Raw genomic sequence first — 14,877 nt, 5'->3', positions numbered from 1 at the left:
ATATATCACTAATCATTAGAGAAATAATAATCAAAACCTTGATGATATGTCACTTCATGGCCATTAGGATGGCGACTATTGAAAAACAGAAAATTACAAGTGTCAACAAGGATGTGGAGAAATTGGAAACTTTGTCTACTGTTGAGATTGTAAAATAGTGCAGCTGCTATGGAAATCAACAGGCGATTCCTCAAAAAATTAAAAATAGAATTACCATATGATCCATCAGTCCCATTCTTGAATACATATTTAAAAGAATTGAAACCAGAACCTTGAAGAAATATTTGTACACCCATGGTTTTGTTGTTGTTGTTGTTACTTAATAGTTTTTTTTTATTTCAATAGTTTTGGGGGAACAAGTGGTTTTTTGTTACTTGGATAAGTTCTTTAGTGGTAATTCCTGAGATTTTGCCATGTTTATTGCAGCAATATTCACAATAGCCAAGATGTAAAAGTAACCCAAATGTCCATCAACAAATGACTAAATAAAGAAAATGTGGAGACACACACACACACACACACACACACACACAATGGAATATTGTTAAGCTTTAAAATGAAGGAAATTCTGTTACATGCTACAACATGGGTGAACCTCGAGGACATTATGCTAAGTCAAATAAGCCAGTCACAAAAAGACACATACTGCATGATTTCACTTATATGAGGTACCTAGTGTAATCCAACTTAAAGAAACAAAGTATAATGGTAGTTGCCAGGGCCTAGGGAGTTGTTATCCAGTGGGCATAGAGTTTCAGCTTTGCAACATGAAAAAATTTTTGGATATTTGTTGTACAATGATGGTGAATATAGTTAACACTACTGAGTTGTCCACTTTAAAATGGTTAAGAGGTTGGGCCAGTACCTCATGACTGTAATCCTAGCACTTTGGGAGGCCGAGGCAGGTGGATCACCTGAGGTCAGGTGTTCGAGACTAGCCTGGACAACATGGCAAAACCCCGTCTCTACTAAAAATACAAAAATTAGCCAGGTGTGGTGGTTGGCACCTGTAATCCCAGCTACTCAGGAGGCTGAGACAGGAGAATCACTTGAACCCAGGAGGCAGAAGTTGCAGTGAGGCGAGATCGCACCACTGCACTCCAGCCTGGGTGACAGAGCAAGACTGCATCTCAAAAATAAATTTTAAAAAATAAAAATAAAATGGTTAAGATGGTAAATTATGTTATATATTTCTACCATTAAAAAAAAAAAGAATCCATAGTGTTTGTTTGAATCTAATTTCCTGATAAGAAATATTAGAGACAGGCATGTCAGGGAGGGTCCTATGTATTTATCCTGTTTAAGACTCTTCTCTTTTGTAGTAGGAGGAAAATACTTAGATTTGGTTCAATCCAGCTTATATAACCTGGTTAAACCAACATTTCTCAGCCTCCTGTTGTCATTGAACCTTGCTGTATTCTTCTGTGGAAAATATTTTTTATGACTGGCCATAGAGAGAAAACCAAAAAAAAGTAAACAATATTTTTCTTGTTATCTGTTTGCACATATGATTTCCATCTACTGTTAACATTTATTTACAGAAAATATTATCTCCACCTAGGCTTTCTTTATAGCCTGGAAATATGACAGCTGAGAAGGGACATCATAAAGTCTGTGACACCATTAGTGGCAAGGACCCAAAGGGGTTTTAAACTTTTTCACACTTTCAAATTCTAGGACAAAATGGTTTATCTTTCCTTTCCATTTTTTCCCCTCCTTTCTCTCTCCCTCCCTTCCTTTTCTTTCTTTGTTTTCTGGTATAACTTATAAATAGTAAAGTATACAAATCTTAGGTACAGCTCAATAAATTTTTACAGATGTGCATACACTTATGTAAACCTTACTCAGATCTAGACATAAGACTATTTCTAGAACCCCAGCGGCTCCCATGTGCATCCTTCCAGTTGACGTCTTCCAAGGTAACCACTATTCTAACCTCTGCCACTGTAGATCGCTTTTGCTTTTTCATTAACTTTTTTTATACCTGGTTTTTTTCCACTTAACATTTCGTCTTCAGATTTATCGGTGTTGAGTATGGCTGTAGTTTTTGTTGTTCATTGTTGAAACATTCCATTGTGTAATTATATTTTAATTTATCCATTCTATTGCTGAGGGACATTGGATTATTTCCAGTAAAGCTGTCATGAACTTTCTTGTACATGACTTCTGGTGAAAATGAGCACTCATTTTCGAAATGGAATCGTTGGGTCTTGTGTATATTTAGCTTAATAGATACTCCAAAGTTTTCAAAAGAGATTATTTCAGTTTATGCTTTGACCAGTATTGTAGGATAGTTCCAGTTTCTCCACATCCTTGTCAACACTTGGGATTGTCAGTGTTTTTACTTTTATCCATTCTGGTGCAGTTGTAAGAATAATCCATTCATGAATTAAATAAGACAGTTTTAAGATGAATGAAAGAAAGTACAGGTTCAGGAAGAGCTTATAAGGGTACCATTAGTAGGCTGGGCATGGTGGTTCATGCCTGTAGCCCCAACACTTTGGGAGGTTATGGTGGGAGAATTACTTGAGCCCAGGAGTTCAAGACCAGGCCTGGCCTCACATAGCAAGACCCTGTCTCTTAAAAATAATAAAAACATGAAAAGCGTATTACAAGTAGAAAAAAAAGTAATGGACTTGTAGAGCTGATATTTCTCTAAGTAAAATCCCCAGATGACCCTTTCTCAGCCTCATTTATGGTGCTTGTTAAAGCTACATTTTCCCAGGCCTCACACTAGAGTCACTTAGTCAGAATTCTGGCCCGTGAAATCTGCATATATACCACTCCTTTGGTAACTCTTATGGCATTAATGTTTGTATGCCACTACTTAAACTTTTTAATAACACAAACTCCAAATGGAAGTTAAGAAAAAGTGGGTTCAATCTATGATGACTGCATTTTCAGGCAAACAATCAAGGTGCTTTGAAATCAGGACTGTCTCAGACTATTTCAACCACCTATCACATCAAATGGTCTAGCATATGGGTAATTGGAATTCCAGATGGAAAAAAGAAAGAATGAGACCGAAAAAGTATTTGAACTTTCTTCAGGAGGCCAAGAATTTTGCAAAATTATTGCAGATATCAAAGCACAAATCCAAGAAACTCAGAGAATACCAAGCAAGGTAAATAACAAAAATCAGCTAGGCATGGTAGCTCATGCATGTAATCCTAGCACTTTGGGAGGCTAAGGTGAGATAATCACTTGAGCCCAGGAGTTCTAGACCAGCTTAGGCAATGTAGTGAGACTGCATCTCTACAAAAAGTTTTAAAACTTAGCTGGGCATTGTGGCACATGCCCATAGTCCCAGCTACTTGGGAGGTTGAGATGGAAGGACTGCTTGTGCCCCGCAGGTCGAGGCTGCAGTGAGCCAGAATCAATCGCACCACTGCACTCCAGCCTGGGGACAAAGCAAAACCCTGTCTCAAGAAAAAATAAAGGTACCAAAAATCTATCAAGCAAAACACATGACACTGAGACTTATATTGCTGGAAACCAAAGGCAGTATATTGTCTCTATTGCAAAGATATGGAAATACCTTTGTCATCAAGAATGCTATGGCCATCTAGATTCAAGTTAATCGCTCTTTTTTGTACAAGGATGACAATGTTGTTTCACTACCTCTCCAGAGCTTCCTCTCCCTCTGATTTATTTCTCTGGTGCACTTCATTGTATTATGTCATGATAGACCTGACAAATCTCATTCTTTAAAGTTGACCCTGTAAGGTCATGTTCTCCAGATATTCACAATCTATTTTAAGAAACTAGGGTTTTGTTTTGTTTTTGTTTTTAGTTTAATGCAGCTCTTACTAGGGCCTTCCTGTGTGGCAAGTACTAAGTGTATATGGATCATCGAATTTAATCCTCATTTTCATGACTACCTTGTTAAAGAAATACTACTATAATTTTTTTTATTTTAGAAACTAAGGATAAAGGAGCTTAAGATAATGTTCCAATTTACCAAGCTAATAAGTGAAACAGCTAGAATTTAAATCCAGGGATTCTTATTCCCTAATCCTACTCTTACCCACTCTGCCATACTGCCTCTTATTAAAAAAAAAATACACCACACACACACAGACTGTACATAATATTTATAAAAGTATATCAGACTTTATTCCCCCTTTTCACTGAGAATTAGTCCAATTTGTGCAAGTTAGGACATATTTTTGTTCCTTTCTCTTTGTTTTCATTAGCCCAGTTGCAACAGTGACCTGGTTGAAATTAGGAAATACTCTTGAATTTGAAGAAACTGAACTGCAAGGCTGTCATGAAGATGCAGCATTCCCTTCACAGACAGATATTTGTGATGCCTTATTTGTGTGAAGATATGTGATAAATCACGAGAGAAGCTTAGTACCCAATTCACAGTGCAGGCTGTGTGGGTAGACTCTTGACAGGGATTTGGGTAAGTTTTAGATATTGCTTATCAGCAAGTTTTTACCCAACTTCACTATGTATTCTGGCTGGCTTCTCTATTTTGGGCAACATGCAGCAACTAGTTTTTAGCATCAGATTTTTTGTGTGTGTGCATGAAGAAAAACAATAAAAGATCAATAAGATGATGGCTTACCAAGGATTTGTGTTATCAGAGGTCATATAGTAGAATCTGAAGATGCTTAATATTTTGGGGTAATTCTGCTCTGATTGTCTTAGTGAATGCCAGCGTCTGTTCTTTCATGCTTTTACATTATCAGACAGGGCTCCTTCTGCCATATCTCCTCCCTTGCTTTCTCCCAACACACACAGGAGAATATTTATGGCTGCCCATTGCTCTTAACTAGAAGGAAAACAAGGCCAGGAATCTCTAAGGGTTAAATGACATTCCATAGATAAAAGGTTGGGGTGTTATCCACACAATAACAGCCTTCAGTCTTTGACCCCATAAGGGGCTTTTCTGGCTAGAGCAGTCCCCTTATAAGCCTCAGTCCTTGGACATTTTGTCACTGTTTACATTTCTATGCAGAAAACATGGAAAAAGTGTTTTCTCCATGATGTTTCAGTGTTATTTCTCCATCTGCCTTTTCTTTGCATCTTACGTATTTCTCTCTCATACTTCGATCTTGCCTTTTATTAAGGGCTCTGCTCCTTAAATGTTCTTTTTTAGTTTCTGTACTTTATCAAAACCTCAGAAGTACCTCCGGTGACCCAACATCTCTGGCATATTAAATCTGAGTGTCAAATGCATGCACTTTCTTTGATATATGATCTAATAAGCCTTTTCTATCTCTAATTTCAATGATTTTGTAATACCAAATTATTTCCTTTTGTGGTGTGTGATTTTTTTTCTTCTCCTCTAACTTCCCTAAGTTCAATAGGTTTTCATAATTAAATGCAGTGGATTGTTTAGAATAAAACCTTGGAAACATGCCTTTTTCTTATGGAAAGACAAGGAAACTGAGCTCTGTAAATCAGAATATTAAGCTTAACATATAATTTATAAGGAAGAAATAAAGGAAATGTAAATCACCCTCAAGTAAGCTCACTTTCATCTTAAAAATTAGATTGAAAATCGTGTGGATACATGTGTAAGTTATGAGAAGACATTCTGAAAATAAAATCTCAAGGTTAAATACAGAAGCACATTTAGTAGATATTTGAGCAATCTCCAGTATCTTCAAAGGTTGTGTATGTGTGTTCAATCCCAGCAATGCATCCCATGACTTAACTCACTTTAAAAGTGAGTTCTCACATATCTAAAAACTCCTCATGAGTTTTTAAATTTTTTGATCTTTTACATGAAGCCCTTGGCTGGACACAGTGGCTCGTACCTGTAATCCCAGCATTTTGGGAGGCAGAGGTGAGAGGATCGCATGAGGCCAAAGTTCGAGACCAGCCAGGGAAACATAGTGAGACCCTGTTTATACAAAAAAAAAAAAAAAGAAGAAGAAGGGAGTCTGTGGCACACACCTATAGTTCCAGTCACTTGTGAGGCACAGGCAGGAGGATCACTTGAGCCTAGGAGTTCAAGGCTACAATGAGCTATGATTGCACTACAGTCTGAGTGACAGAGCCAAACCCTGTCTCTAAAATAAATAAAGCCCAGATCTGTCATAATCCAATGCAGAAATATGTAGGACCTGAGGCGAAAAGGAACCAGTAAGACTATTGCTTTACAATCAAAGAAAATCTGAAATGTTATAAATTCACACTTTCAGCCATGTTCAGTTTTCAAAGTACTCTATGAATAAGGGAGAACTCTAGGAATATTTTCTGCAAACACATTTTCTTTTCATTAGAAGCAAGATACAGAAATGATCTGGATGCTTTGTATTGGGATGATTTGGCACTGGAAAATACAACCCAAACCAAATAAAATTTGATATTCAATTAGAAATTTGTGGTTTTAGACCTAACAATTCTATAACATCATTGTAAGGATGGTGCCATCTAATTGTTCAGTTTAGGCACATTTTGAAGCTATTCTTCACTGTAATAGTGAAGTTGTAACATTTGACATCTTTATGTGGAAGACTTAATTTAACCAATATAGTTTTCATTGAATTCAAGCTGTTGATGTTATGATAGCAATACATTTATCAGTTATAAGATTTTTTTTTCCATTCTCAGTTCTGTTTTTAGTGGCTGATCAGTATTCATTGGAATCGGCCTTTCTTTTGACAAAGGCTGTCTCCTGGCGTGTGAGGGTATGTGTTCTCACAGTCACAACATGGTGGAGTGTGTGTTGATTTACAGATTGTTGTAGCTGAAGGCATGTATCCTGCTATGCTCCATTACTCTGCATGCAAAGGAAAACATTTCAGTTGTAAAAAGCAAGCTGACTTCAATTGTTAAAAAAATGTAGCTTCTGCAAGGGTCAGAGGACAATAATACAATTCTCTGTAACTTTATTGTCTGTAACTTTGACTTATTTATGTTTCCAAGTGTCTCCTGATGTATGGAAACTCATTATACAAAACTTACATCTACAAAATGAGAGATCAGTGAATTACTCTGTTTTTGTTACTCTCTTGTCCAATTCATACATTTTTGTAAGAAAGTTTCTTAAAATCATGTTCAGTGTCATATAGTGATTAGAAGTATAAGGTTTGAAATCTGGTGGTCCTAGATTTGACCCACGGCATCGCCTCTTCTGGCTGCGAAGTCTTTGTCAGGATCCTTAACCAGTTTGCTTTTGTTTGCTCATCTGAAAAGTGAGAAGAAAGTAATTGTGCCTACCTATGAGAATCTGATGGGATAATTCGTGTCGAGCACTTATCACAGTGCCTGGCATAGAACAAGCCCTCTGTAAAACAGTTTACACATAAATGTTTGTGTGTGTGAAAATATATGCATGTGTATACATACATAGGTATTTATGATTTACATGGTGCTCAAGTACATCATGCACTGTGATTATATAGTGCTCATAGTGTTTTATGGAAAATGAGGCACACATAAAATCAATAGATGATACACACAGAATTTTTAGCAGCAGATTTATCTTACTAATTATGTATTGCAGAGGCCACTATTCAAAGTCTTTCATTCCTCTCACACACACACCTACTAACTATAGAGACAGGTAACCTAGAAGCCTGCTAAAGGGTATAGTGAAGCCACCTGGGCTGTTTTAAAACCATCACAAACAATATGGAATGTTTGTGTCTGACAATCGATTGGGTACCCCTTGACCCAGTGAAACCCTGCCAGTGCTTTGGTTCCCCATGAAGCAGGCTCAGAGAAGGAAATCTACTTTCAGAAGTTTATTGGGTGGTGTCCTCATGTTCAATACTTGTGAGGGAAATGAAAGAAGCAGGATTGGGCAGAAGAAGTTGGGCTGTGATTCAGCCACAACGAGACCTCTGCCAACCCCACAGGGAGCTCTGAAGCTAAGACTGCCCTTCAAAGTTATCCTGAGTTGGAACTAGGGTACCTGGGGCAGGTACCTTCATACCTCCTGCCTCCCTCATCTACCAGTCGTTGGATGCAGGCTACTCACAGGAAGAGAGACATGACCTTGAGCAAGGTGGCTCTTCTTAGATCCAGGAAATTCCCAGAAGGACTGTCAGCTGTCAGCAGCAAGCAGCTGGGGAGTTCTTTAGTCCTTAAGGAGGATCTAAGTGTCACCACATGAAGTCCATACCAATCATTAGAACTAATTATTGCTGGGAATTGTGGTTTGATTCAGCCTAAGTTATCTGAACTCTACTTTTATCTGGTCTTTCACACTTTTTCATTCTTTTCCACCCTTCCACAGTCATTTATTAAAAAAAAAAAAAGAAAAAAAAAATTTATCGGGCCTGGTGTGATGGCTCACACCTGTAATCCCAACACTTTGGGAGGTGGAAGCAGGAGGATTGCTTAAGGCCAGGAGTTTGAGACCAGCCTGGACAACATAGTGAGACCTCATCTCTACTAAAAACTTTAAAAATTAGCAGGTGTGGTGGCCTGTGCCTGTATTCTCAGCTACTCGGGAGGCTGAGGTGGGAGAACCACTTGAGACCAGGAGGTCAAGGCTGCGGTGACCTGTGATTGTGCCACTGTACTCCAGCCTGAATGACAGAGTGAGACCCTGTCTCAAAACAAAAACAAACACACACAAAAAAAACAGCTTTATGGAAGTATAACTGATACACAATAAACTGCACATATTTAAAGTGTATGGTGAGTTTTGACCTATGAATATACCTGTGAAACCATCACTACAATCAAGGTAATGAACATGACTATCACTTCCCAAAGTTCCCTCATTTTATTTTTAATCCAACTCTCTCTTCACAACCTTTCTCCCCCAATTCCACTGATCTACTTTGTCAAGCAGTTAAGTTCGGTTTTTCTAGAACTGTATATAAGTGGAAGTGATGGTACTTTAATGAGGCCTCAAAATAAGAAGATAAGGAAAGATTCTCTTTCTTTCCAAAAGTTCTCTTCATATAAGCAGAGAAAGACCAGGCAGCAGAGGGGATGGAGAAGATAAGCTTTAGATCTGGAAAAACAGTAATCCAGAATTCTTCTGTCATTTGCTATCTATGTGATCGTAGCCATTTTATTTATTTATTTTTTATTTTTTTATTTTGTTTTTGAGACAGATTCTCATTCTGTTGCCCAGGGTGGAGTGCAGTGGCACGATCTCAGCTCACTGTAACCTGCATCGGCCAGGTTCAAGTGATTTTCCTGCCTCAACCTTCCTAGTAGCTGGGATTATGGGCATGTGCCACCATGCCCAGCTAATATTTTTGTATTTTTAGTAGAGATGGGGTTTCACTATGTTGGCTAAGCTGATCTTGAAGTGCTGACCTCAAATGATCTGCCCGGCCTCCCAAAGTGCTGGTATTATAGGCATGAGCCACCACACCTGGGCAATAGTCATATTATTTAAATTCTCAAGCCCTGGCTTGGCGTGGTGGCTCACACCTGTAGTTCCAGCACTTTGGGAGCCCGAGGCAGGTGGATCACCTGAGCCCAGGAGTTTGAGATTAGCCTGGGCAACATGGTGAAACCCTGTCTCTACTAAAACAAAAATTATCCAGGCATGGTGATATGTGCTGATGGTCCCAGCTACTGCGGGGCTGAGATGGGAGGATCGCTTGAGCCCAGGAAGTCGAAGATGAAGTGAGCTGTGATTGCACCACTGCACTCCAACCTGGGTGACAGAGCGAGACCCAGTCTCATTAATTAATTAATTAATTTGCAAGTCCCATTTTCCTCATTTTTAAAATGGGGATAATAGTTGAACCTACCCAGAGGGTTGTCACAAAGATTAAGGAATGAGAAATTGTTCATAGTTATACCCAGCCCAGCATAATTCGAATGAATTGTGATGATAATGTTTTTATTATAATACTGATGATGTGAAAGGTTTATGGTTCAATTTCAATGTAATTTCTTTACCTATGTGGGGTCAAACAAAAGATATCTACCCTAGGAGAAAAACTCAGTTATCGAGTGACCTAGACACGCTAGACTCTTCACTGTTCCACAATCTGTAGACTTGGGGTTTCTGTGCTTCAAGGACCTTATATTGCAAGGTGTGTTCTAGTGACTCCACCTTGCCAGATTTATCAGCACTCAACAGACAACCAGTTGCTTTTTCCTGAACCATACTTCTCTGGGATCTCATTCTCCCAGATTTTTTTCCATGTCTCTTGTCGCCCCTTGGGAGTGTCCTTGTTGGTTCATCTCACTGATCTACCCACTCAGGACCTCAGTTCCTCGAGGGATGTCAGTCCTAAGACCTGTGATCACACTTGCTTTCTTCTTGCCTGTGGGTTTGTATGTCAGTTCTAATGATGGTGGCTCCCAAGCTAAAACCTCAAACCAGACTTCTCCTTGGAGCTCCAGCCTGTATAGCAACATGCCCACTTTGTATTTCTATTGAATATCTCATAGATGTGGGCAGTTTGGATTTATTACATGTCCAAACCACAAGTATTGTTCTTTTTCCTCGTCCTTGCTCACTCAATCTTCCCCATGGTAGCAGTTGCACTTTCTTTTATTGCCCAAGCCAGAAACATGTGTCTCACCCTTGGCAACTTCTGTCTTGCTTCAGATACCTCATTTCTCACCAAGTCCTTTAGATTCTGCATGCAAAATTTCCCCTCTCTGAGTATCTTCCTGTTACCACCTCTCTAGTAGAAACCACCATAAACTATGGGCTCAACAGAAGCTCTAGGTTCCGAACTGGTTTCTGTACTTTAAAAATCACCTCGGTTATCAACTGGCACATGATAAGTCATTAATGGTTTATTAAATGAATGCTGAACTAAACAGGCGCAGCCTTCCTAAGTAGAAGTAGCATGGTTCTTGTCTTTGCTCTGACAATTACTAGTCTTACGACTTTGGACAAATCTCTTCACTTTTCTGGGCCCATTTCTTAACTTTAAAATGAGGATGATAGTATTCTCCCTTTCTCATAGAGCCATTTATTCACTCAGGAAAACTTTAATGAATATCTACCAATTGCTGAGTGCTGCAGTTACTGAGATAAATACAACCCATGCTTTCTTCATAGAGAGCCCAGAGTTTAGAAGGAAGAACAGGCATGTGAACATATTCATGATTATATTATAATCGAGTAGGTGTAACAATGGAAGCCTACACAAGGTACACCTTTATGTAATGTTTAATTTGAAATGAAGGCATTGAGTCAGGTATTATACCAGACACTTTCTAATTTACTGCCTAATTTAACTTTCACATAGAAAACTCAGAGTGATTAAAATGATAATTATCATTTTACAGATGAGGAAACTGACTCAGTGGCATTAAATAAGTTACTCAAGCTCACAGAGCTTGCATGTGGAGACACCAACCTGCAAACCCAGGCTTTTTACTCCAAGTTCAGGTCTCTTTACTCACACGAAACAATACATAATTAAAATATAAGTTATTGAACACCTTATTGCTGGAAGAAGAATGAATGGACACTGAACTGAAGCATTTTATAACCAAATCTAAATCAGAAGAGAAAATTATACAAAAAAACTCACTTTTTTCTTCAACTTTCTCTTTTTTTCTAACTTTTTCTGGGTCTATTTTTTTTTTTTTTGAGATGGAGTCTTGCTCTTGCGATCTTACTCACTGCAAGCTCCGCCTCCTGGGTTCACCCCATTCTCCTGCCTCAGCCTCCCGAGTAGCTGGGACTACAGGCGCCCGCCACCACGCCCGGCTAATTTTTTGTATTTTTAGTAGAGATGGGGTTTCACCGTGTTAGCCGGGATGGTCTCAATCTCCAGACCTCATGATCCACCCACCTCGGCCTCCCAAAGTGCTAGGATTACAGGCATGAGCCACCGCTTCTGAGTCTATTTTTATGATTCTGATAAATTATAGAAAGAGTCTTATTGATTATAGTATGTACTTATTGGTACCCACAGCGAACAAAGTGTTACTTAAAACAATGGCTTGAACTCTTTGAGGTTGGAGAACCTTGTACATGACATTTTGGTCCCTGAACACTGGCCTCAGGGTGTTTGCTAAAGAAAACCCAAGTGAACATTGCTTTTACTTTCTTTCTAAATAATTCATGAAATTTTTAGTGGCATCTTGGAGTCTTAAGAGACAGCTCAATTTGAGAATCACTCTACGTATCTGAGATACACGTTCTGTAATAATAGAATTATGAAAAGGGAAAGAAGGACATCTAAGTGGCCTGGGCCTTCAAGCATAAGTCGTGAGTGAGCAGTGAATGAGGGAGTGTGGTACATAGGCTTTGGCATTCATGCGAGTGTTTGTAAATATAAATTGGCATGGATGTACCATACATTTCACCTGAGGGTATAAAGGGTCACATTGCTGACTCACCTGTAGCTAGCCCTCAGCTTTTGAACCCATTATCATCCATTGCTAATTTATATTATGTGCCAGGAACTGTGCTAAGTGCTTTTCTCTGTATTAATTAATTTAATCTTCATAAATATTCCTATACTGTTAACATACCCACTGATGAGATGGGAAAACGGAGACTTAAAGCAGGGTAAGCAACTTACTGGGTAGTGTGTCATGGTGGTGATTTGCACCCAAGCAGACTCCACAGAGCATCCCCTTAAGCGTCGTAAAGCCATTTGTCCATCTTTGAGAGCCAGCCAGTGCCCTTCCCAATCTTCAGGAGTTATCTTCTTCATCATGGTATGAGCTCGACTTCCTTCTCTCCTCATATGTTTCTCCCATCTTCTTCCAACTCCAGCACTATAATCTCTGGGATAAAAGAGCTGAGAGGATAAAGCCATCATCCAACTATGTCTCAAGTTCCACAGTCATTGGCACCATCACTAGCCTGGGTCTACTAGGTGACTGTTGCAGGCCTGTAAGTCTTTTGGCAAAGTCAGGATATTGGCACTACAGACATGGTAAACCCAGTCAATTCAAATATACATGAAAACGCAATATGGGACTGTCACTCTTAAGCTCTGCCACATTCTCTAATGTGGTTTTCTCTCAACAACATTTATTTTGACACTGCCCAAATATTATTTCACTAGTTTATTAAGCAATGTCCAGGATTTTGGCAATACATAAATGAAAAGATACACCCTTACTTTCAAGAGCTTGTAATTTGAGGAGGGAAATAGACATCTTTACTCTAGCACTTGCCACCTTGTATTTTGCCTGTAGGTTCCAAGGTGAGTGAGGAAGAACTTGCTGAGCATCTAAGACCTGAACCAACCCTTGAAGCTCATCAGACAAGAAGGGAGGAAAGATATTTGAAGGCTGAGCATGTGTAGAGATGTGGATAATGGAAATCTGTTCATGTTCCTTATCTCATTCCAACATAGCTTTTAGTATGTAACCTGCTGACATCAAATTTTGGACTTCAAGCTTGATGAGCATATTGTTACTTTCTTTAAGGAGCAAAGGGAACATGATGTAGATGTGTGTTTGTATTGTCTCTTCAGCACTGAAGCAATGCCAGTGTCAATCCATATTTATGGCCTTGGTTTCCTCAAATTTTTGTCACTTATCAAATAGGGGAAATTTAGCCCACTTTTATTACTCTTTTATTGATGAAGCCCCTGAATTTAAACTTCACTTGAAGTGCTACAGTTATGGGCTTTGTGATCCTTTCAGATCAAATGCATGGGGCCAGGCTTGGTGGCTCATCCCTGTAATCCCAGCACTTTGGGAAGCCAAGACAGGTGGATCACCTGAGGTGAGGAGTTCAAGAACAGCCTGGCCAACATGGTGAAACACCATCTCTACTAAAAATACAAAAAAAATTAGCTGGGTGTGATAATGGGTGCTTGTAATCTCAACTACTTGGAAGGCTGAGGCAGGAGAATCACTTGAACCCAGGAGGCGGAGGTTGCAGTGAGCCAAGATTGCATCCCTGCACTCCAGCCTGGGCAACAAGAGCAAAACTCTGTCTCAAAAAAAAAAAAGAAAAGAAAAAAATGCATGGGTATTTTTGCTTGTAGAACTGAGTCAAAATCCCTTTTCTCTAGTGGTGGCTCACACCTGTAATCCCAGCACTTTGGGAGGCCAAGGCCAGAGGATGGGCCAGGAGATCGAGCTCAGGTGATTGAGATCAGTCCGGGCAGCATAAGGAGACCCTATCTCTACGAAAAAATAAAAAATCAAAATATATATATATATGTATATACACACATACATATAAAACAAACACCTAGCCGGCCATGGTGGTGTGCACCTATAGTTCCAGATACTCTGAAGGCTGAGGTAGGAAGATTGCCGTGGTGAGACATGATCACACCACTGTATACCACCCCACATGACAGAGCAAGACCTTCTCTCGAAAAGAGAAAAGAAATCCTTGTTCTGCTACTTGTGTGTGTTTTTACTTTGTCTCCATGAGCTTCTATTTCCTCATCTTTGACATGGAGGTAAGAATACATCCCAGGGTGTTGCTGTGGATTAAATTGAGACAGTGGGTAGAAAAGAGCCTGACATATAGTGGGTGATTTTTCCCAAAAGTAAGTGTTTTGTTGTTTTGCCTCCTCAGCAACCTGAGTCCTATAAACCCCTATTACTGAGGATTATTCTGGCCCTTGAGTTAACATTTGGTGAATCACTTGGTTGGAAGCAAACTCCTAAACCAATGGTTCTCAACCAGGGGTAGTTTCACCCTCCAGCAAACCTTTGCCAAAAATCTGAGACATTTTTGATTAACACAAGTAGGGGTAGGGAGTATTATTGTCATCTAGTAGGTAGAGGCCAAGGATGCCACACAGCATCCTGCAGTGCATAAGGTAGCTGGTATCACAAAGAATCACCTGGCCCCAAATATCAGTAATCCCCTGTTCTAGATAAAGTGAAGCAGAAAAGTTTGTCTATTTGCGTATCATGTTGATGACTTTTGAAATTTGACATGTGATAAATAGAGTTGCCATTTTCTTTTTACCCCTCTATCATTAGAAAGATTTCCCAGGGTCACCATCAGGATCCCACCCTTTCGGGTGCTCCCATCATAGTTTTGGA

General features: G+C 39.3%; 1 protein-coding gene and 1 long non-coding RNA gene across 14 annotated transcripts in view; one reads left to right on the top strand and one right to left on the bottom strand.

Moving 5' to 3' along the window:
* Positions 1–14,877, top strand: part of SAMD12 (sterile alpha motif domain containing 12) — a 490,139-nt gene that overhangs the window by 214,540 nt on the left and 260,722 nt on the right. The gene's annotated exons all lie outside the window — the stretch shown is intronic.
* The window catches only part of LOC105375724 (uncharacterized), a 141,651-nt gene that overhangs the window by 15,610 nt on the left and 111,164 nt on the right, over positions 1–14,877 (bottom strand). For both annotated transcript variants that reach the window (XR_001746057.2, XR_001746062.2), the window contains one exon: positions 12,432–12,653. This is a non-coding gene — a long non-coding RNA (uncharacterized LOC105375724). The remainder of the gene's footprint in view (positions 1–12,431; positions 12,654–14,877) is intronic.

This window comes from Homo sapiens, chromosome 8, assembly GCF_000001405.40.
Source record: "Homo sapiens chromosome 8, GRCh38.p14 Primary Assembly".
NCBI lineage: Eukaryota > Metazoa > Chordata > Mammalia > Primates > Hominidae > Homo > Homo sapiens.
This window is presented reverse-complemented; position numbering and strand designations above follow the sequence as displayed.